General features: G+C 35.0%; 1 pseudogene, 1 gene segment (V, D, J or C) and 1 further gene, besides 6 other annotated features; all 3 read right to left on the bottom strand.

Annotated features, from left to right (window-relative positions):
* Nucleotides 1-24,824, bottom strand: part of TRA (T cell receptor alpha locus) — a 930,229-nt gene that overhangs the window by 600,405 nt on the left and 305,000 nt on the right.
* Nucleotides 1,036-1,044: a recombination feature (nonamer).
* Nucleotides 1,045-1,066: a recombination feature (spacer).
* Nucleotides 1,074-1,601, bottom strand: TRAV15 (T cell receptor alpha variable 15 (pseudogene); annotated as a pseudogene). The gene is given in 2 exon segments: nt 1,074-1,367; nt 1,552-1,601. Coding segments are annotated over 2 exon segments (344 nt in total).
* Nucleotides 10,032-10,040: a recombination feature (nonamer).
* Nucleotides 10,041-10,063: a recombination feature (spacer).
* TRAV9-2 (T cell receptor alpha variable 9-2) lies at nt 10,071-10,544 on the bottom strand. The segment is given in 2 exon segments: nt 10,071-10,362; nt 10,499-10,544. Coding segments are annotated over 2 exon segments (338 nt in total), but the record flags the coding sequence as incomplete, so codon positions are not given.
* Nucleotides 10,352-10,362: a sequence feature (TRAV9-2 leader sequence).
* Nucleotides 10,499-10,544: a sequence feature (TRAV9-2 leader sequence).

Here is a 24,824-nt window from a genome sequence, read left to right as displayed (position 1 = left end):
ATGTATTATAAACCACATTTATACAAAAATATAGCTTTACATGTGCACCAAAAATTTTATTGCATGTGAATAGCTATCATTTCTAGGTTATGAAATTATAGGAGTGTTCTATGTTTTCTGGGTGTTTATATCTCCTAATTTATTCTAATGAACATATAATTAAGTAATAAAAGTATAATTTAGTTTAAAATTACAACATACCACTCCTTTTTTCAAACACTGAATCCTACTTTACATCCTTCATGGAAAAAGCAAGTGACAAGGGGCCACAATGTCTGTGTTCCATTCCTAGCTTCCATTTTGCTGTAATTCATGCTTTGAGTAAGTGATGCTGTCCCTGTTGATTCTACTTTTTTCATCTATTAAATGAGGGACATGAGCTGAATCAGTATTTTCTAAATTGTGGTTAACATAGGAGGTCATGTTAGGCAGTACACAGATGGTCTTTTTAATTGTTATACATGTAATGTTATTTTAGTTTGTATCAGGAACAAACATAGCCTGCACATCAGATGTATAGTTTATATAAAATATAATTTCACTGATAGTATCCATTAAAATAAGAACAATATTTTACACAGTTTTGAAGTCTACTCAACATAAAAGTTAATTTAACATTTAATTAAGTAAATAATAGTATAGATGATACAAATACAAGAAACATCATGAATTTACAAGCAAATGGGTAAAATACTGTTGGTGAGAGTATAGCACGGAGAAAACTTGCCTCTTGGCCTCAGAGCCTGTGCCACAGTGGTCTGCGACTTTAGAGTAAAGGACAGAGCTGTGGAAGGGATCGGTGGGCAAACAGGCCCAGAACCAGCACAGCACAATCTACATTGAAGAATGAAATTTCAATAATAACAAAATGCAATTTAATTTAATATAAATTCAGCTTCATCACATAAGAAAGATTCTGCACTACCCTTCGCTTCTGTTTGGAGACAGAGTTTATAAAGAAGTTCTCTCTACATATAAAGACAACACCTTCACTCCCACCTGCAAGGCAAGGCTGTGTCAAGGGTCCCGGATGCAGGTTGTGGTACAGGCTGCAGGTGCTTGGGGACCCTGTGCCTCAAAGCACAGAAGTAGGTGCCTGAATCTCCAGGATGAGAGACCAGCATATTCAAAACACTATAAAACTTCTCTTTTCCAAGCGCTTCTTTAAAATGTTTGTCTCCCTCCTCCATCTGGCTTGATTGAATTAAGGTCAAAGACACAAGTCCTTTTCCAGACCCTGCCAGAACCAGTAGAAGTTAAGAGAACGTTCTCTCCTCATAAGTGCAATTAAGAATGTTGTGCATTCCCTCCCGGATACTCAGGAATGAATGAAGGACTCTACTCCAGAATATGGAGGCTGTTCACCCCTGTTTAAACAGAGAACCACAGACAGAGGACATTCATTCATGGCTGACTACTTTTGGAAGATATACTCTCCTTTCAAGTCCCCACAGGTGAGCACAGAGGCCCTAACCACCCTTCTATAACTTCCAGACTTTTATTTTATTTATTTATTTATTTATTTATTTATTTATTTTTATTATACTTTACGTTCTAGGGTACATGTGCACAACGCGCAGGTTTGTTACATACGTATACATGCGCCATGTTGGTGTCTGCACCCATTAACTAGTCATTTACATTAGGTATATCTCCTAATGCTATCCCTACCCCGTCCCCCCACCCCACAACAGGCCCCGGTGTGTTATGCTCCCCTTCCTGTGTCCAAGTGCAGACTTTTAAAGAAGATACTACAAACTGCTCTTTTCAATGATATTTCCAGAGCCCCAAAACTCACAGCACAGCTGCCAAGAGAAAATCAAGAACAAAACTCCCAAGGGCTTCTCCACAAACTCCCAAGGGCTTCTCCACTTTATCCATGAGACTTACTGCGGACTCTGGTTGGGGTCTGGGAGCCCTCAAACACTACCAAGCCAATAGCTTGTTTCTCTGAGTGAATATTCATAGTTCTGTTATTACAGGAAGCTGAGAGTCCTCCCAGCCAACCACAAACAAGATCCATTCCCCCATGCACAGATAACACAGCTCCTCCTGATGTCTGAAGAGGTAACATGGAAAAGGACCTTGGTAGGACCAGGTGCTGATTTGTTGGAGAGTGATGCTTGTTTGTCTGCCAGATTGTTGTCCTTCCTTTTTTTCTTCTATAATCCTTCCTGAGCATCTACCATGTATGTACAAGTCATAAATTGAATATCCAAAAAGCATTCCTCCCCAAGGAAAGCCTAGAAAGGTTATTTTCTCTCCTTTCAATGCAGAAACCTGTTAAATGAGCCCCCAGATACGGATCTAATTATTGGCACCATAGCTCAATATAATAGTATTATATCTGACACCTGCTCCATAAGGCTCATGTGAATTCATCTTAGAATTTACATTAAGTTACACCAGGGGCAAGAATGTTTCATTCTGTGCATAAAACCTGTGAACTAAAGAAACCAAACAAGAAAGCCATTACAGTCAGTTCAAATAATTGGATGGAATAAGGTCAATATGAAATAAAGGGTGACTCAGCCTTAACCATAGTAAAATAATATAATCAATAGCAGGAGAGTGGAAAGCTAAACCTTAATCTATACTTAAATTTTTTAGTTATTTTATCTTATGTTCTGTTTTATCAACATTTCATCCACATTCCAGAATAACTATCATCAGCTGAAAAATTATTTTTGACTAAATTCAATCATGTAATTAAATTCATTTAATTTAATTCAATCTTTACAATCATGTGGTAAGTTGTATGTTATTAAAATTGATGATGTGTAGATGCTCTAAATTAAGTACTTGTCCATGGCCACATAATTTAGTAAGTGACAGATACAGCACTTAAATACTTAGACCTTGGCCAGGTGTGGTAGTGTGGGCCTATAGTCCCAGCTACTCAGTTGGCTGAGACAGGTGGATCGCTTGAGCCCAGGAGTTTGTGACCAGCCTTGGCAACGTAGTGATACCTGTTTCCAAAAACAAAACAAAAAAACCTTACCTTTTAATCATCACATAAAACAGGCCAATTATTATGGTAAGCAAGAGCAATATCTATGTTAGAACGAAAACTTCATAGGATATTTCTGTAAGAGAAAGTTGAACACTGTAGACAAAGCTAGACTCGAGCCTCATGAGGTAAGCTCTTCTGGTGTCTGACTTTGTCTATTTTGTTTATTATTCTATTCATCAAACCTACAAAAACCCCTGTTGCCTATTTAAGAAATAATTGTATAATGAACAAATTTGATGTGTGTCTGTCCTTTAAAGCCTGATTAAATTTTCTATTTCCCCATGATGCCTCTCCTTGACTTTTCTGTAACACAGTGATCTCCTCCTGAAAATACCTTTAAAACTTAATTGTCCACATACTTATAATTTTAACAATTGGTTAAGTTTTTATGTATTTTATCTTGTTCCTCAATTTATGGAATAAATTTTTTCTGATAAGTTCTTTCCAGGTAAAAGCAATAATTTATACTGCTATCAGTAGACAAATGTCCTGATACAGCACATTGTACATATAAGGGCTTCATTATTATTTTAGGTCAACATGTATTCTTCTTTTCTTGCTTATTTACTAAATAATTAACTACCGAAATGGTAATTTTTCTCTCCCTGAACACAAGTGACTTCTTAGTTTCTCAATATTATAGAAGATTTTATAGCAGCTTTTATAATCAGCTAACAATTACTGAGCACTTATCATGGGCCAGAATTTCAAATATATATATTCATTTAATCCCCACAACAAATGGTAGTCAGAAAGTTAAGCAACTTAGCCAAGATTTTACAGTTATAAGCATTCAAGATCAGATTCAAACCCAGGCAAACAGGCTCCTAAATTCTTACTCTTAACTGCTCACTTCACCACCTCTCCTTTTTGTTCCCTAATCAACAAATCACATGGTAAATGGTGACATTCCCAATGTGTGAATTGAAATGCTTCACTTGTTTACCAGTTTGTGAAAAGATGAACTATTTTTCATGGATTCAGCTGAGAAGGACTCAGCCCCATGGCATTATTTGGTTTCAAAGACGTGAAAGTGACTGAGCTGAGAGAGAACACAGGCAGGCCACACTTTGTCTTTGTCAACCCCTTCAAGAAAGGAGAGGATGAAATTTGGAGAGGAGGATACGAAAAACCTACTGCTAAAAATTCTATTCAGCTTTGATCATTTGATGCTTGACTTCTACTCTCATGAAACATAAATTATTCACTTATATGCTAGAACAAATACCATCTGTTTTTATCATAATAGCTTTCTTCTGTGACTAATTACTAGGAAATTGAAGGATTTTTTGTGGTAATTGAGGAATGTTCTAATAGTTTATATGAGTTTAGAGCAGAAGTGTTATGCCTAGATGGAAAAGGAAATGCTTTGGTAAAGGCTAAATTTTCAAGACTTTGATACGACTAAGGGAAAACTAAGACAGAGTATCATTTTCTGCACACTTACAAGACAATAATAAAATTGTATTATTTTATTTTCATGTACTATTTTTACAATGTTTTACCGAGTTCAGAGAGAGCAACCATCAGGCCTTTACTTGCCCCCTCATTGGAATCAAATAAGCATTAAAAAATCCAGAGTTCTCAGTGACCCCCTTTTCATCAAGCAGTAGCAGAATTCTTGTCGTAGATTCAGGAGAGAGATCATGGTCTACACAAGCTCACTTCGTCCCTGCAAAAGCAGGAATGAAATCCCTGGTCTCCAGCATCAGTTGCATATTCCTTACAATGACAGGCACCGAGTTTGGATTACTGATGGAGAAGCTTCTTACACCTGCTGTCATGTTCTCAGAAGCTGATAAATGTAAGAATAAGCAGAGTGTTTCTGAGAAGGAAGCTAATTAGGTTTTCAAATTTGCAAGTGGGTTCTCTGGTTATGGGACAGTCTCCACTAGTGTGCAAAAGACAAACAGGAATTGCACTTTTAGCTAAATATCTCATAAAAGCACTTTCTTATTTTTCTGTAGTTGAACTGAGACTTACTTGAGGTTTATCTTTATTTATACATTTATATTTTGAATGTATTCATATTTACACAACTCTGCCATAGAAGAAACCTGAACTTTTAATTTATCTTTAAAGAACTTTTAACATTTCTTGCAAGGCAGGGCTAGTTGGCAACACGTATCCCCAATTTTTGTCTGAAAATGTCTTTATTTCTCTTGCACTTTTGAGGGATAATTTCTCTGGGTACACAATTCTAGGTTGGTGGTTTGTTCTGTTAATACCTTAAATATTTCACTATACTTTCTCCTCCTTGCATGATTTCTGAAGAGAAGTTGGATGTAATTCTTGTGTTTGTTCCTGTATAGGTAAGGCACTTCCCCCACTCCACCCCTTGCCAGCTTCTTTCAGGATGTTTTCTTTGTCTATGATTTTCTAGTTTGAAAATGATATGCTTAGGATTTGGAGGGGGTTGGCATTTATGCTACCAAGTGTTCTCTGAGCTTCTTAGATCTGTGGTTTGGCATCTGGCATTATTTTGGGAGAAATTCTCCATCATTGTTTTAAATATGTTTTCTGTTAATTTCTCTCTTTCTTCTCCCTGTGACATTCCCATTACATGTATAGTATACTTCTATAGTTGTTCCACAGTTTTTGAATATTTTTAGATACTCTTTCCTGGGTGTTTTTTAGTCTTTGTTTTCTCTACTTTTTCAGTTTTGGATGTTTCTGCTGATATATCCTTAAGTTCAGAAATTCTTTCCTCAGCTACGTCCAGTTTATTAATAAGTCAGCCAACGACATTCTTCATTTCTGTTGCTGTATTTTGATCTCTAGCTTTTTTTTTCTCTTGGTTCTTTCTTAGAAGGTCGGTCTCTCTGTTACATTGCCCATCTGTTCTGGCATGCTCTCTACTTCATTACTAGAGCCGTTGGCATATTTGTTTCAAATTCCTGGGTCTGATAGTTCCAACAACCCTGATGTGTTTTTCTGATGATTTTTCTGTCTCTTTCAATTGTATTTTCCCTTTTAATACGCCCTGTAATTTTTTATTTGATAGCCAGACATGACATACTTGGTAAAAGGAACCGCTGTAAATAGGCTGTTAGTGCTATGGTGGTAAGGTGTGAGGGGAGAGGAAGTGTTCTATAGGCCCACAATTTGTTCTCAGTCTTTTAATGAGTCTGTGTCTATCGGCTATAAACTTCTCAACTTTTCAAGTCTCTAGAAAAATCACATGATTTTATCAATAAATGCAGAAAAAGCATTTAACAAAATTCATCACCCATTCATGATAAAAACTCTCGGTGAACTAGAAATAGAGTGGAATTCCTTCAACTTCATAAGTAATATGTTCCAAAATCTATAGCTAACATCATAATTATGAGAAACTGATGCTTTCCTACTAACATCAGGAACAAGGCAAAGATGGGCCTCTCTCCACTCCTTTTCAGCGTCATATTGCGAGTCCTAGCTAATGCAACAAGACAAGTAAAAAAAAAAAAAGTATACAGATTAGGAAAAAAAGAAGTATAACTTTGTTCCCAGATGACATGTGCATGAGTAGGAAGACTCAATATTGTCAAAATGTTCATTCCTCACAGTTTAATCTGTAGGTTCAATGCAATCTCAATTAAAATCCCAGCAATTTTTTGTGAATATTGATAAACTCATTCTAAAGGTTATATGGAGGTGCAAAGGACCCAGAATTATCAAAACAAAAAAAGGTTTTACAGGAGAATAAAGTCAGATGAATGACAATACCTGATTTTAAGACTTACTGTAAAGCTAGAATAATCAAGACACTGTGACATTGGCAAAAGAATAAACAAATAGATCAATGGAACAAAATAGAGAACCCAGAACTAGACGCACATAAATGTAGTTAACTAATCTTTGACAAAGGAGCACAGGCAATACAATGAAGTAAAGACAGTTTTGTCAATAAATGGTGCTGGAACAACTGGACATTCACAGGCAAAAAAAAAAAGAAAAAGAAAAAGAAAAGAAAATTAATCTAGACTCTAGACACAGACCTTATACTATTCACAAAAATTAACTCAAAAAGCAACCATAGATGTAAATGTAAAATGCAAAACAAAACTCAACTCCAAGAAGGCAATGTAGGAGAAAATCTAGATGACCTTGGGTTTGGCAACGACTTATACAAAGACAAAGGTATGTTCTCTGGAAAAAAAATTATTGATAAGCTGCACTTCACCAAAATTTAACAGTTATGCTCTTATGAAATGCAATGTCAAGAAAATGGGAGACAAAACACAGACGAGGAGAAAATATTTGCAAAAGGCATATCTGATCAAGAACTGTTATGCAAAACATCTTAAAATTCAACAATAAGAAAACAGTCTGACCAAAAAAAAATGGATAAAAGACTTTAACACATATTTCAGCAAAGAAAATATATAAATAGCAAATAAGCACATGAAAAGTTGTTCTATATCATATGGCATCAGGGAAATGAAAATTAAAACAACAATGAGATACCATGATACACCTATTTGAATGGCCAACATCCAGACCTCTGACAACACCAAATGCTAGCAAGGATATAAACAAAAAAGAACTCTCATTCATTGTTGGTGGGAATGCAAAATGGAACAGCCACTTTGAGCACAGTTTGGCAGCTTTTAAAAAAAAAAAAAATTCTTTCCATATGATCCAGCAGTTTTCCTCATTGGTATTTATCCAAGTAGTGGAAAACACGTCTACACAAAAACCTCCAAAGGGATATTTGTGGCAGCTTTATTCATAATTGCCAAAACTTCGAAGCAACCAAAATACCCTTCAGAAGAAGAATGGATAAATAAACTATGATGTATCCAGAAAATAGAATATTATTCAATACTAAAAAAAAATGAGCTATCAAGACATGAAAGAAACAGAAACCTTAAATCCATGTTACTAAGTGAAAGAAGTCAGTGTGGAAAGTCTACATACTGTATGATGCCAAGTATATGACATTCTGGAAAAGGCAAAATCATGGAAACACTAAAAGATCAGAGGTAGCCAGGGGTTATATTGGGAAATGAATGAATACCAGAGCACAAGGGACTTTTAGGACAGTGAAATTACTCTGTCTGATACTACAATGATAGATGTATGGCATTACACATTTGTCCACATCTATATATTATGCAACACTAAGCGTGAACCCTAATGTAAACTATGAACTTTGAGTGACTATGACATGTCAATGTAAGTGCATCATTTGTAACAAATGTACCACTCTGGTGGTGGATGTTGATAATGGGAGAGGATATATATCTGGGAAGGGATAGAGGGTGTGTGGCAAATCTCTGTACCCTTCTCTCAATCTTGCTGTAAACTAAAACTGCTCTTAAAAAATAAAGAATTTTTCAAAGGGTGAGGGTTTGCCAGTATCTCATAGTTGGAACAATGGTAGATGTGGAAAATAAAGACAATAAATGGTAAAAAAAAAAGGGGGGGCAGATATATAAATGGCAATATATCAAAAAATGTAAATAGCTTTTAAGTATATTAAATGACGCTCCATCTAATTCATAAATAAATGAAATATTCTTTAAATGAAATTCTAACTCATAAGCCAATGTCAAAAAGTTTAGTAATACATAAGGTTTAAGGAAAATAGGTATCCTGCCAAATCACCACTACTGATAGTATAAATTAGTGAAACTTATCTAGAAGACAATTGGGTTGAAACACATAGACTACTACGAGAATATTTCATAAACAATATTTTATATTTCTTATATTAAATAATTGACTATTATATTTTTACATTTTAATTTTATTCTGCTTTCTTGTGTTATTGTGTTCTGCACTTCAATTCATGAAATATTAAATTCCAGCTTTCTTCTGGGTTTGGGAAGTGAGCATTGCTTGTTATACATGCAGTGGTGGAGAGCATGGGTGGTCAATTAATTATACATTTTCTCACTTTCTCCTCCTCTTTTCATACCCTCTTTTCAAATACCCTCAAAATAGAAACACACACACAAAGCATTATCTTCACCAATTATTCAAAGGTCATTGGTACTTCTGATTTCTAAACCTTTCCACAAAGGCTCAACACACATTGGTGTTCCTTGTTGTCTTCTTTCACTGGGCCCAGGTTTCTTCTTTATCTGGTCTGCTATGCAAGTTTTCATTTCTCCATACACTCCTGCCTTCTAAAATTGTATTGGTATCACCATCTGCTGTCACCTCCTTTTCTATTCTTTTTGTGGTTTTATGCCCTTTTCAATTTCTTTACTGTGTCTTTAATAGGATTTCACAGGGATACAAATATAAATCTGTATGCTTAATCTTCCATTGGCACTGCAAAACTAACTCACTTAAGGACTTGTTGTTAGAAAGCCAATTGATCAATGTAACAAGCAAGGAATACTTATGATTTACAAATGAGTCATTTCTTCAATAATGATTTTGATCCTTCCCTTTCTTTTTGGAACATCAGCCTTTGTCTACCATCTGGCTTACCAAAAAAGAAAACTTCCCTCTCTCTGACAATTGTTGCTTTCTTCTCCGTATTATTTTTTTACATGTGACATTCTGTCCCTCCTCCTTTCTTCTCTTCCCTTCTTTCTCTATTAAGAATCCTGCATAGACATTTGAACTGAATTGAGGAGCTGTGGCTCTCACGTCATCTCTCCTGCTGTACTCTGTTACAGAGACATTGTACAGACGCCACCTTCTCTGGCATATTTGGCTCTGTAAAAATGTAATAGAACACATCCACCTCCAATATCTACCAGAGTGACCTGGAACAAGAGGTGGGGGTTGAACTTTGTCTGCAAGGATGATCACAGAGACAGCTTCATTGTTTCTGTGGTTTAACCTTGAAATTACTTTGGCACTGGATGAGGAACTATTTGGTGTCAATGTCTGTTTTTAATTTCACTAACCAAGAGCTGGGTTTGGGGATGTTCATTTCTTGTTTTTCTCCTCTGGCCATGTGTATGATTACTGCATCAATCAGAGAAACTGAGGCACAAACAACCACAGACTGTGCTAGAACCAGAGTGGATCACAGTGGCTGACACTCAGCAGCCGGGCCCCCCGTGCTGCTCAGAGTTTGTGCTCAGCTCCCCCTGCAGTCCCTGTCACTGTGTCACTCAGAGCACAGAAGTACACCGCTGAGTCTGACACTTGAACTGAGCCTTTCTCCAAGTGGAAAGAAGTGGTTTCTTTACGGTATGTGGCTTCAAAACCTTTGTTGCTTCCCTTGTCATCAGCCTTCGTGGCTTTCAGGAGGAGCTGTAGACCTTCTCCAGGATATTGGACATACCAGAAAAGGGAAGGGTATCCTGTGGCTGTGTACGTGCAGTTTATAGTCAGGAAGGCCTCTTCTGAGAGAGTCACTGGCCCTTCCATCTGGGTCACTGAATCTCCACGGGTTCTTCCTAGGGAAAAAAAAAAAAAGAGAGAGAGAGAGATCTGTTTAGCCTTGAGCATAATGCTCTTAGGTCAAATTATGGTTAAAGATTTTTTTGGCTTGATAGAAGACAGAGACCAAATTTTAAAAGGCATCTCACTAACCAAGCAGTAAGAGTATCAGAGATACTAAGCCTGGAGAATAGTTCATCTTTAGTGTGTTACCCAAATAATGGTCTTGATCCTTAACATGAAGAAATCACAGTGAAACCTACAGTGATAGCAGGAAATGAGTTTGTGTTAGGAAGCCACTCCCTCTGGTGGACAGGGGCTGAACTGGGATGAATGTTTTCCTGGACTCCTTCCAAAAGTCAGAAATAGGTCCTCAACCCTGACCTCATTTATAAGGCCCATGCCAGTCTCAGGTGGTCCTTGTAAATATGAAGGGCAGATGTTGTCATCTCTATGGTCTATTTTGTCAATTTTGTTCTTTGGACACTACCTGAAACAAAAGATCTTTAGCAAAGCATCCTAGAGTATTTCTGTAGGTGAGAGTTCCATTTTCTTGGATATTTTAATACAGGCCAATATTTTTACGTATCCATTGCAGGCCAGTGGTATAATTCAATGGGATGTCAGACAAGGGTTTTGAGTTGAAATCAGAGGGAATGTTAAGAAGTCTTGCTGTTACTGAGTCTATGTTTTTCAGCACTGTATCCTAACATGTAGAGCAGTGACTGACATTTACTGATAAGATATGACCTCAGATTAATAGCTTATTCCCTCACGATTTCAATGACTCCAAGACAAGTTGCTTGCTTATGACAATCAGGCAACAAGTGTTAACCCTATAATCTGGAGATCTGGCCTCAAGGACGCTTTCTACTGTGGTCATATGCCAACATTTTATTGCCAAAGTTTAATCAATTTCCTCTGATGATGTAGGGAATCCACATGTAGATTTGCATCAACAGACTGAAGCATGAGTTAGAACTTTCCTCTTCTCTTGCTTTACAAATTGATAAAGATACATCGGCTGATAATCGAGGTTCTAAAACCTGGTTGTGTGAGAACTGAATTAACTTGTGAGTCATTTAAAATTACAGATGTTGGGACAAGACTACTAACTTTAGGAATCACGATTTCCAACATTTCAAACCACAATTTCCAAGATTCAAAGGGTTTCATTTTTTAAAAACTTCCCTGATGGTTTTGTTGCTGCCAGCCTGATAGTTGTTTACAAGATTTTATTTGTGAACACTGTCCTATACCAAGACGGTTATCAACTATCAGAGATAACACTCTGAGGTCATCACAAAAAAATGTCCCCATGATTACACAGATTATTAAAGCTGGTCTTTTCCTATGAAGTGTCTGCAGTAAAAACAAACACTTCATTATGCTTACTTCCTGTGAGTTTTCATTTTATAACATAACAAAAGAAAACAAAAACCTGTTTTTGGTAAGATGGCAGACTAAATGCAGCTGAAATATGTCTCTTACATGGAGAGAAACTAAAATATCAAGAAAGATTTGTTCAAGTGCAATGGATTACTCAGTTTGCATTTTGTCTCCCATTTTCTTGACATTGCATTTCATAAGAGCGTAACTTTTAAATTTTAGTGAAGTGCAGCTTATCAGTAATAAAAAATGTACCAATAAAAAAGCCACATACCAGACGGATTCACAGCCGACTTCTACCAGACATACAAAGAACTGATACCAATCATGCTGAAACTATTCCAAAAAATCAAGAAGAGATTCTTCCCTAAATTGTTCTACAAATCCAGTATTATCCTGATACCAAAAATCTGTTAAAGACACAATGATAAAAGAAAACTAAAGATCAAATCCCTGATGCACATAGACACAAAAATTCTCAACAAAAACTAGCATCCTGAATCCAGCAGCACAGCAAAAAGCTAATCTTCATTCCTGGGATCAAGTAGGCTTCATTCCTGGGATCCAAAGTTGTTTCAACACACACAAATCAGTAAATGCGATTCACCACATAAGCAGAATTAAAACCAAAACCCATGTGATCATCTCAATAGATACAGAAAAAGCACTCCATAAAATCCAATAACTCTTCACGATAAAAACCCTCAACAAACTAAGTATTGAAGGAATATACCTCAAAATAATAAGAGTGGTCTATGACAAACCCATAGCCAATATCATACTTAATGGGCAAAAGCTGGAAGCGTTCACCTTGAGAACGGGAACAAGACAAGAATGCCTACTCTCTGTACTCCCATTCAGCATAGTACTAGAAGTCTTACCCAGAGCAAGCAGGCAAAAGAAAGAAGTAAAAGGCCTCCAAATAGGGAAAGAAGAAGTTACATTATCTCTCTTCACTGACAATATGATTCTATACCTAGAAAACACTAAAGACTCCACCAAAAGACTCCAGAACTAATGAATGACTTCAGCGAAGTTTCAAGGTACAAAATCAACATTAAAAAATCAGGAGCATTTCTATAAACCAATAGTGATCATACTGAGAGTCAGTTCAAGAATGCAATCCAATTTACAATAGCCACATGCCCCCAAATACCTAGGAATACAGCTAACCAAAGAGGTGAAAGAAGAACTGTAAAACACAGCTGAAAGAAATCATAGACCACACGAACAAATGGAAAAACATTCCATGCTTATGGATTGGAAGAATCAATGTCGTCAAAATGTCCATACTGCCCAAAGCAATCTACAAATTCAAAACTATTCCTATCAAATTGTCAAAGTCATTTTTCACAGAATTAGTAGAAACCATTCTAGAATTCATATGGAACCAAAAAAGAGCCTGAATAGCCAAAGCAATCCTTAACAAAAAGAAAGAACAAAACTAGAGACATCACATTACCCAAATTCAAATTGTAGTACAAGGCTAAGTAACTAAAACTTGGCCTTAGTAATGGTCCAGAAACGGACACAAAGACCCATGGAACAGAATAGAGAACCGAGAAATAAAGCCATACACTTATGATCATCTGATCTTTGACAAAGCCAACAAAAATAAGCAATGGGGAAAGGACTCATTCAACAAATGGTGCTGGGATAACTGCCTAGACATATGCAGATGAATAAAACTGGACCCCTATCTGTCACCATATACAAAAATTAATTCAAGAGGGATTGAAGGCTTAAATGTAACACCTCATAGAAATCCTAAAAGAAAACCTAGGAAACGCACTTCTGGATATCAGCCTAGGCAAAGAATTTTTGGCTAAGTTCTCAAAAGCAATTGCAACAAAAACAAAAATTGGCAAGTGGGACTTATTTAATCTAAAAGGCTTCTGCACAGCAAAAGAAACTATCAACATAGTTAAAAGACAACTTACAAAATGGGAGAAATTATTTGCAAACTATACGTCCTACATAGGACTAATATCCAGAATCTGTAGTGAACTTTAAGAAATCAACAGGAAATAAACAAATAATTCCATTAAACAACGGACAAAGAACTTGAACAGACACCCGTCAGCAGAAGACATACAAGTGGCCAACAAGCATATGAAAAAATCTTTCATATCACTAATCATCAAAGAAATGCAAATCAAAATCACAATGAGATACCATCTCATACCGGTCAGAATAGCTATTATTAAAATTCAAAAAATAACAGATGCTGGAGAGTTTGCAGGGAAAATGGAATGCTTATACACTGTTGCTGAGAATGCAAATTAGTTCAGCCCTGTGGAAAGCAGTGTGGAGATTTCTCAGAAAACTAAAAAAACATTTATGATTCAAGCCAGCAATCCCATACCTGGCTATATATCCAAAGGAATATAAATCATTCTACCAAAAGACACATGCACTCATATATTTATCACAGCACTATTTACAATAGCAAAGACATGGAAACAACCTAGGTGCCCATCAATTGTGATAGACTATGGAAAATTTGGTACATATACACCATGGAATTCTATGCAGCCATAAAACGAATGAAATTATATCCTTTGCAGAAACATGTATGCAGCTAGAGGCCATTATCTTAAGTGCAGAATTAGTGCAGAAACAGAAAACAAAATATCATATGTTCTCATTGTAAGTGGAAGCCAGACTGTGGGCACACACAGACATAAAGATGGGAATAATAGACATCGTGGACTCCAAAAGGAGGGAGAGATGGAGGGGGGAGGGGCTGAAAAACATCCTATTGGGTACCATGTTCACTATCCAGGTGACTGCCTGTTGCGTACTATGTTCACTATCTGGGTGACCAACTAGGAGCCCAAACCTCAGCATCACGCAGCATACTCTTGTTACAAACCTCCGCATGTAAATCTAAAAATAAAATGAAAAAGAAAAGAAAAAACCTCCAGAAGTGTTATCAGAGTAAAATTTGGGAGAAGGATCTAACTTTCTGCAAGGACCTGTAAACATTTATACCTAGACACATAGCTAAGAACAGACACTTAGTTCAGTCTGTTTCCTGGAGTTCACTCTCCCCAGATTCAGATAAAGAATGCGTCCAGAGTCAGCATATGAATAGTTTCTCAGATACAGACTTCATTAAGAAATTCAGGCCCAGATATTGTTTGGGTTTGCAAATCTCTTCTCCTTCTCCTCCACCTTCCAAATCACTTTGTCAGAAACAAGCCTAGAACTATGTTGAAAATGAATTCTGGAAAATCAGCTACAAATTTCTATTCTGATATACAAAGGGGAATGCAAAATAAGCTGGAATGATGCTGGGTTGAAAATAAACAGTAGAGCACATGGGTGTAGACTGTTGTCATCCATACTTAAGAAAAATAGTTTAAACCCAGTGAGAACAGTTTGCATCTTGGACCATATCAGAATACTTCTGTGATGTTGAAGACATGTACTTTTAAATTGGATTTTTAAATGGTTTTATTGATGTATAATTGACATAAAAATTAACTGCACCAAAGTAAAGTGAACATTTTTATAAGATTTGACATACATATAGGCTTGTGATGCTATTATGGCAATCAACATGATGAATATTTACATCACCCCAAAAGTTTCTCATATTTCTTTGTACTTTTTCTCTTAACCTTCCTATCTCCCATGCCCATTTCCAAGCAATTCTCTGTCACTATATATTAGTTTGTGTATTTTATAATTTATACAAATTAAATCATATACAATTTTTTTGGTTTATCTTCTTTCACTTAGCATAATTATTTTGAGATTCTTTCATGGTGTCATTTGAAACAATGGTTTATTTCTTTTTATTGCTGAGTAGTACTATTACATTATATAGATATAAAACAATGTGTTTGTTATTTATCTGTTGATGTACATTTCAGTTAGTCCCAGTTTGAGGCTGTTACAAATAAAGTTACTACAAACGTGTATTCAAGATTTTGTATAGGTGTATTCTGTCATTTCTCTTAGAGCAAATAACTTGGAGTAGAATGGCTGCATCTGATATCAGGTGTATATTTGACTTATTTAAAACCTGCCCAATTATTTTCCAAAGTTATTATATTACTTTGTATTTCCACCAGTAGTACCTGAGAGTTGCAGTTGCTCCACATCCTTGTCAACCCCACTCTAATAGGTATGCAGTAGTACCTAATTGTGATTTTAATTTGCATATCCCTAATGACTAATGATGCTAAGCATGTTTTCATATGCCTATTTGCCATTCATATAGTTTCTTTGCTGAAGTGTTTGTTCAAATCTTTTGCCCATTTTATTTACTTTTCTATTTTTTTTTGTTAATGGGTTCTGTGGGTTCTTTGCATAACTCAAATAAATGACTTTCTCAGATACCCAATTTGCAAGTATTTTTCCAGTCTATAGCTCATCTATTAATTCTGTTGACAGAATTGTTTCCAGAGGCAGTTTTAAGTTGTAATGAAAACCAATTTTTCAATTTATCAACTTTTTGTCTTTTATGGGTCATGTTTTGCTATCATATCTAAGAAATGTTTGCATAGGCCAAGGTCACAAAAATTTCCTCCTATTTTCTTCTTGAAGTGTTATGATTTGGGGTTTTACATTTATGTTTATGATCACTTTAAGTAACTTTTTGTATATGGTATGAGAGTGTCAAAGTTCATTTTTTTGTATATGGATATTCAATTATTTAAGCACTATTTGTTGAAAAGACTATCCTTTCCACATTGAATTGCCTTTGCACCTTTGTCAAAAAGTAGTTGTTCATGTATATATGGGTCTATTCCTGGGCTCTATTCTGTTCTATTAATCTGTTAGTCTATCTGTATACAAATGCCACACTGTTTTGATTACTGTGGAAAACAACTTGAAGTAAGATAATATTATCCCTCCAAATTTTTTCTTTTCCAACCCTGTTTTGGCTACTCTAGGTGCCTTATATTTCTGAGTAAATTTTATAATGAGCCTGCTAATTTTAACCAAAAAAATGACAGAACTTTTATTGTGGTTATATTGAATCTGTAGAATAATTGAAACAGAACTGACTTTTTAACAATATTGAGTCTATCAATCTATGAACATAGTTTATCTCTCCATTCCTTAGGTCTTAATTTCTCTCATGAGGTTTTGTGGCTTTAAGTTACCAAGTCTTCTATACTTTGTAAGATTTATCTGTAAGCATTTAATATTTTTGATGCTATTGTAAATGGTATTGTGTTTTTATTTTTAATTTCTGATTGTCGCATGTGAAAATATATAAATACAATTAATCTTTGCAAACTGATCATTTATCCTGCAACCTTTACAATCTTACTTATTTGTTCTGGTATATTTTCTGCAGATTCTTTGGATTTTCTACTTAAACAATTATGTTGTCTGCAAATAAAGCTTGATTTATTTCTTCCTTTCCAAACTGTATGCCTTTTGTTTCTGTCTCTTGCCTTATTGCACTGGATAGACATTCTAGTACAATATTAAACAGAAACAGTGAGAGCAATAACTTTTTTCTTATGTGTGATCTTAGGGAGAAGCCTTTAGTTTTTCACCAAGTATGACACTTGACATAGGTTGTTGTAAGTTTCCTATATTAAGTTGAGAAAGTTCCTTTTAATTTCTCATTTAGAGAGAGTTTTTAATCAGGAATGGATGCTGGATTTTGTCACATGCCTTTTCTGGGTCTATTGAGAATATTCTCATTGTTAGATCATCTGCTACTTGTTAATCTTCTTTGATACATTATTGATGAATTCTCACAACAAATACTAAAGAAGCTATCACTATCACACTTTACAAAAAAAATGTAACAAAACACAAAAGTATTCAGCAAGTAAGTACATGGCAAAGTTAATAGTTTTGAACATAAATCTCATTAATAGCAAAACATGTGTTCCCTATTTTTTCCAGTATAAATTGCTTTCAGAGAAATTTCAGAGAGAAGTTAGAAGACACCAACGTGACTTTTTCCCAAGCCCTTGAAATATTTTAAGACAGCAAGTTAATAGGTGCTCTATTTATCCAAATGAAATTTTTTAAAATAATTAAATAATTTCAGGTCTCATTCTTTGACTAAAAGAGGAAAGAAAACATATTTTAAAGGATGAATAAACTGCAGTTTAGGAGCTGACCACCAGGTAGTGGCATAAGCATTCCTTTCAGACCAATTATTAAACACCTGATGAGCAATGCATGGTAGCAAGGCTGAAAAAGTTCCTAAACTTCTGTGAACCACCAGAGTACTGGAACTTTATTCATGGCCAGTGACCACTCTCTTTCTGTTCCTGGAAACTTGCTTGTGATAAAGGAGTCTAAAGCATAGTTGTTCAAATTAACCAGTATGAAAATTTCTCACATACAGGATCATAGCTTAATTCTTCCTAATGACTAACATTATTTAAAGCATTGTTTAATCTGTGCACAGTCAGTCATTGTTATGAAGCATTATTTCACAAGATTATGCAAGGTTTAAGGACATAAATGGGAATAATTTTCAAGAACATTCCAAAAATCTGAAGTCTATACAACCCATCAACTTGAACAATATTTACTGGTCCAGCAATTTCTAAAATAAAACTTGGTACACTTCACAATAAAAGAAAAATACAAAAACAATAATATGGAAGCCAAAACTTTGTCATAAATATGATTGAATAAATTTATCATTTTCCCCTTTCTTCATAGAAATAATCTAAATGCAACAAGAAATTTAAGAACAATAACACTATATCTATAATTGGGGTCAAATTAAGAGAAAGAATCCGAATATTTTTAAGAGCCAACCAAATTAAATGAGCTTGCACAAATGCACAGGTACAGTGAATCATCCTAGATCCAAATGAAACAATCCACCAAACCAGGCATTAGAACATCTTTGGCCTTCTTAAAGTTTGTTAATTTCAAGCATTATATTAATAGATTTTCAAGTATTAAATCATCTTTACATTCCCAAAATAAATTCAACTTAATTATGTTGTTTTTTTTTGTGCATGCATTTGTCCCTTCTCACTTTTTTTTTCTGGATCATGTTAGTATTGTAATTATTTTCAAAATATCATGTTGTGGTTTTATCATTGATTTTGTTATTTTCCTTTGAGCCATTAATTTCTTGCTTTTATTTTTAATTCCTTCAATCTACTCTCAACCATTTTATTTTACTGTTAATTTTATAACTTCTGGAGTTGTATATTGAATTGGCTTACTTTTATATTTCATTGTTTGCTGAAAATTCATCAATTGGAGTCAAATGACCCAAGTTTAAGTGTTGGATGTTTATTTACTAGATCTGTGGACTGAGGTAAAACTTTCTGCTTCTATATCTCTCTAGTATGGAAACCAGAGTGCACATTATTTTCTCCTGGTTTAGTATTTTCAATTACTAACTAAACATTGCTTTAAAAATATGTATCCAAATACAAATTCTTCATCTTGTTCAGCACATCATCATGTGTTAGAATATTTATTCTTAGAAGGACATCATTCTTTGACTTCTCAACATTTAAACTAAATTTTGAAGGGCCTGATGTATTAAAGATATAAAATGATTACATTATGAAGTTGATGCTTCTATGTATGCTTGAAGTTTTGCAGCCTACATGAGTTATCCTGAGGGACATGAGACAAATGTCCTGTTCTCCAATCTGCTGTCACAACACCTGAAATTCCACCATTAAATATGCTTGTAGTTAGAACTAATAAATGAATTCAACAAACTTGAAGGATACAGAAACAGCACACAAAAATCAATTGCATTTCTATAAACTAACAATGAACACTTTGGAAATTAAGAAAATAATTCCATTTGCAATAGCATCAAAAAGAATAAAATACTTAGGAATAAACTTAAACAACAATGCTAAAGACTTGCACAATGAAAACAAAAATGTTGCTGAAATAAATTAAATAAGGCACAAATAAGTTGAAAGACATCTGATATTTATGGATTGGAGAATTTAACATCATTAAAATGTCGATGCTACCAAAAGCAATCTACAGATTCAATTCAATCCCTATCAAAATCCCAATAGTGTTTTTGCAGTAATAGAAAAATCCATCCAAAAGTTCATATGGCAGCTTGTGAAACCCCAAATAGCCAAAATAATCTTGAAAAGGAACAAGTTTGGAAGGTCTAACACTTCCTGATTTCAAAGCTGATTACAAAGCTACAGTAATATAGCAAAAGCTGTGTGGTGCTTGCATAATGACAGTCATATAGACCAATGCAATACAATAGAGAGCCCAAAATTAAACCTTCACATTTACAACCAAATTATTTTAGGAAAGGGTCCTAAGACTGTTTAAGGGTGAAAGGAAAGTCTTTTCAACAAACAGTGTTGGGAAAAACTGGATATCCACATGCAAAAGAGTGAAACTGCACTCTTATCTTACAGGAAAAGCATCGCGATTTAGATTTGGCAATAATTTCTTTTTCTTTTTTTCTTTTTTTTCAGCCTTCAGAAAGCATGGAATTGGCAATAATTTCTTGGCTATAATACCAAAAGCATAGGATGCAAAAGAAAACTTAGATAAACTTGACTACATCAAAATTAAAAACTACTGTGCATCAAAGGGCACAATTAATGGAGTGACAGAGTGGATAAACAACCCATGGAATGGAAAAAAAAATATCAAATCATATATCCGACAAAAGATCAATATCCAGAATATATAAAGAACTCTTACAACTCAGCAGAAAAAAAAGACAACCCAGGCCAGGCGCGGTGGCTCACATCTGTAATCCCAGGACTTTGGAGGCCGAGGTAGGTGAATTGCTTTAGCTCGGGAGTTCAAAACCAGCCTGGGCAACATGGTGAAACACCATCTTGAAAGAAAGAAAGAGAGAAAGAGAGAGAGAGAAAGACAGACACCCCATTTCAAAATGGGCAAAGTAGTTGAATAGGCATTTTTCCAAGGAAGATATACAATTGGCCAATAAGCACAGGAAAAGATACTCATCATCACGAATTATTAGGGAAATGCAAATAAAAATCATAATGACATACTACTTCATGCCCATTAGGATGGCTACTATTCATATCAAAAATAATGATAGTAAAAGAAGTGCTGATGAAATGTGGAGAAATCAAAACACCTGTGTCCTGTTGGTGAAAATGTAAAATGGTACAGCAGCCACTGTGGAAACCAGTTTGGCAGTTCTTTAAAAAATTAAAAATAGAATTATTATGTGATTCAGCAATTGCACTTCTGGGTATATCACTTCTAAAGTTGAAAGAATTGGGGGATATACCCCAAATATTGAGACGTTTGCATACTCTTGTTGAGAGCAGCTTATTCACAATAGCCAAAAGATAGAAACAGCTCAAATTTCCATTGATAGATAAATAGTTTAACAAAATAGGGTATGTACACACAATTGAATAATATGCAGCCTTATAAAGGAAGGAAATTCTGAAAGCCTGCTTCATACTATGACATGAATGAACTTTGAGGACATTACGCTAAGTGAAATAAGGCAGTCACAAAAAAAAATTGTATGACTCTAGTTATACAAAGTACCTAGAGTAGTCAAACTTATAAAGACAGAAAGGAAGGCTGGTTTCTAGGGATTAGGTGGAGAAGAAAATAGAGAGCTATTGTTTAGTAGTCACAGAGTTTCAGGTTTCCAAAATGAAAAGAGTTCTCAAGATGGATGGTAGTGATGGTTGCACAACAAAGGAATGTACTTAACACTACTGAAGTGTCCATTTGTAAATGGTTAACATGGCAAAATTTATGTTATATATATTTTTCCACAATTAAAAATAATTTTAAAAATTTTTAAACATATTTCTCTTTAAGATTTATACTATACACATCTACTTTTCAAATGCAAATACAAGAGGATGTTACAATACAAGATCACTTACCAACCAACCATTACCATTCAAAGCTTAGGGAAGGAGAAAATGGTGTTGGAGGTAGAAGGAGAAGATTGAAAAGAATGAGGATTTTGGATGGTGGAACAGGTCTGGGGGTGTGCAAAGTTGATCCACATGATGGCATTAAATGTTTTTGAAAGAGGGGTAAAATGAAGCACAAAAGCAGAGAAAAGAAAGACTTCAAATTCTGCCTCTCTACAATGTCCCTCTAAGAGCCACTAATTTATTAATCATTTTATGGATAAATCTGGTATGGGGCAGGTAAACCTACAGTATAGAAATTGAGCTATTACATGCTAGAGATTGCAATAAGATTGTTAAATGGACTGAGTTCTCAGCACAAAGTTTGTCACTCTGTAGGTGCTGAATGATTTTTTAAAAATAAATGGATATATAAGTGAATAAATAACTTTACAGGAAGGGGAATATCACACTCTAGGGACTGTGGTGGGGTGGGGGAAGGGGGGAGGGATAGCACTGGGAGATATACCTAATGCTAGATGACAAGTTAGTGGGTGCAGCGCACCAGCATGGCACATGTATACATATGTAACTAACCTGCACAATGTGCACATGTACCCTAAAACTTAAAGTATAATAATAAAAAAAATAATAATAATAATAACTTTTTAAAAATCAAGCTGCATTATTTTGTTAATACACTGCCTTCTGGGTTTTAATTACTTAATTTAAATATTTGCATCTCTATTCAAGAGTAAATTTTCTGTCACTAAAACAATTGAATACATTTATTAAACTAAGGTAGAGTGACCATTTCCATATTACATTTTACCTGTGGTTACAAAGGTTTTCCCAGATGTAGATGCCAAGAAATACAATGATAATGACTGAAGAGTTAGTGAAAGGCAATATTTCTCAATTAAAAAACTGATTTTTGGTGCATTCCAAAGTTATCTTTTAGTAGAGTCTTGTTTCTAAGATTCCAATTTTAGATGTCATTTCTATTAGATTTGAACTAATTACTTATTAGGCTGAATATGTGTGACTTCTTTACTGGTTCTCTCTAACTACCTCAAAGGTAAACCGCTATCTGTAAACTCTAACTTGTGGTGAGATGTGAGTGTGTGTGCGTGTGTGTGTATATGCTTGCAATATCCTTCACACCATCCCTTAGATATTATGTTAGAGTGAATAGATCTTGCCTGTTTAGACTGTACGTTGTAACAAGTGTGAGGATTATGAAACTCTTTCATAAAATGTCTATGAAAGACTCCATCTAATAGATGTGAAAGTAGCTGTAAAAATACATTTGGCGTATTTTAATTTGTTCTCTACTCTTTATTTGGTAGAAATATCTAGAGGTTCTATTATAGTAAGTGGTTCAAGAAATCCAATCACCTTGTTCATTCCATATTGAAAACAATAGCAGCTACATTAGAGGCAGCAGCATAAGCTATACAAGCTCATGGTACTCAGAGAATTCAAAGAGACATTTTCAACTAAATAAGATTCCAGACATCAGAAATAAAATGAGGTATTTTAAAAATTTGAAATTTAAAATTTAAATTAAAAATCTAAAATTATAAATTTTAAAACTAGAATTTTTAAATTAATACTATGTATCCAACTGCTATTTTTTATCAAGTTATATGAATATGAATATATGGATATTCATTCTGATTTAATAAGATGTATACATGCTTATTATAATGTGTTTTATATTGGCATGGGACACTTGCAAATATATGTTCAATTTCTTCAATGAATTTTAAATATGTTCTTTTAAGTTCTTGGATACATATTCAGAATATGCAGATTTGCTACATAGGTAAACGTGTACCATGGTGGTTTGCTGCACCTATCAACCCATTATCTAGGTATTAAGCCTCACACGCATTAGCTATTTATCTTGATGCTTTCCCTCCGCCTCCCTCCCCAACAGGCCCCAGTGTGTGTTGTTCCCCTTCCTGTGTCCGTGTGTTCTCACTGTTCAGCTCCCACTTATAAGTGAGAACATGAGGTGCTTGATTTTCTGTTCCTGTGTTAGTTGGCTGAGGATAATGGCTTCTACCCCCATCCATGTCCCTGCAAAGGACATGATCTCATTTATTTTTATTGCTGCATAGTATCCATGGTGTATATGAACCACATTTTCTTCATCCAGTCTATCATCGATGGGCTTTTGGGTTGATTGTACATCTTTGCTATTGTGAATAGTGCTCCAATGAACATGCAGGTACAGGTATCTTTATAATAGAATGATTTATATTCCTTTGGGTATATACCCAGTAATGAGATTGCTGGGTCAAATGGTATTTCTGGCTGTAGGTCTTTGAGGAATCTCCACATTGTCTTCCACAATGGTTGAACTAATTTGCGTTCCCACCAAGAGTGTAAAAGCATTCCTATTTCTCCGCAGCCTCGCCAGCATCTGTTGTTTCTTGACTTTTTAATAGGAGAGTAGGCTGGGCTTGGTGGCTCAAGCCTGTAATCCCAGAACTTTGGGAGGCTGAGGCGGGTAGATCACAAGGTCAGAAGTTTGAGACCAGCCTGACCAACAGGGTGAAACCCCATCTCTACTAAAAATACAAAAACTAGCCGGGTGTGGTGGTGGTGCACGCCTGTAATCCCAGCTACTCAGGAAGCTGAGGCAGGAGAATCGCTTGAACCCAGGAGGCAAAGGATGCAGTAAGCCGAGATAGTGGCACTGCACTCCAGTCTGAGCAACAGAGCGAGACTCTGTCTTAAAAAAAAAAATTGGAGAGTAAATATTTTTATCATGCTATTTTTTAGGTGTTGGGTTGAGGTTAGTCTAGGTTCATAAAATAAACTTTAATGGTTCAAGTAGTATGAATATATTGCAAATTATCTGTACTTTAAAGTTAGAAACTCTTAGCTATATAACCAAGATGATTTTTAAATAGCATTTGTTTGTACTGGGAATATCAGTAAAAATGAATATATAAAAGATAATTTCATTTAAAATGCATATATATAGATGGATGTGTGGGAACAGTTATATACAAATCCATATGAAGATAAAAGTAAGAAACTTCACAATGTAATAGAGAACATAAAAGATCCTTTACAATTAGAAAAAATATCATTTTACTGAATAAAAACATACGAAAACAAGTTGATATTTGTTAACATATTCATTAAATGCAATTTCAACTGTCTGGTTTTTAGACATTTTTGTTTTGTCAGTTTAATAGAAGGGTATTGAACATGAGGAAAATGTGACAGAACTTTTAACATACTGAAAAGTAAATGTGCAAGAA

Source organism: Homo sapiens, chromosome 14, assembly GCF_000001405.40.
Source record: "Homo sapiens chromosome 14, GRCh38.p14 Primary Assembly".
Lineage (NCBI taxonomy): Eukaryota > Metazoa > Chordata > Mammalia > Primates > Hominidae > Homo > Homo sapiens.
This window is presented reverse-complemented; position numbering and strand designations above follow the sequence as displayed.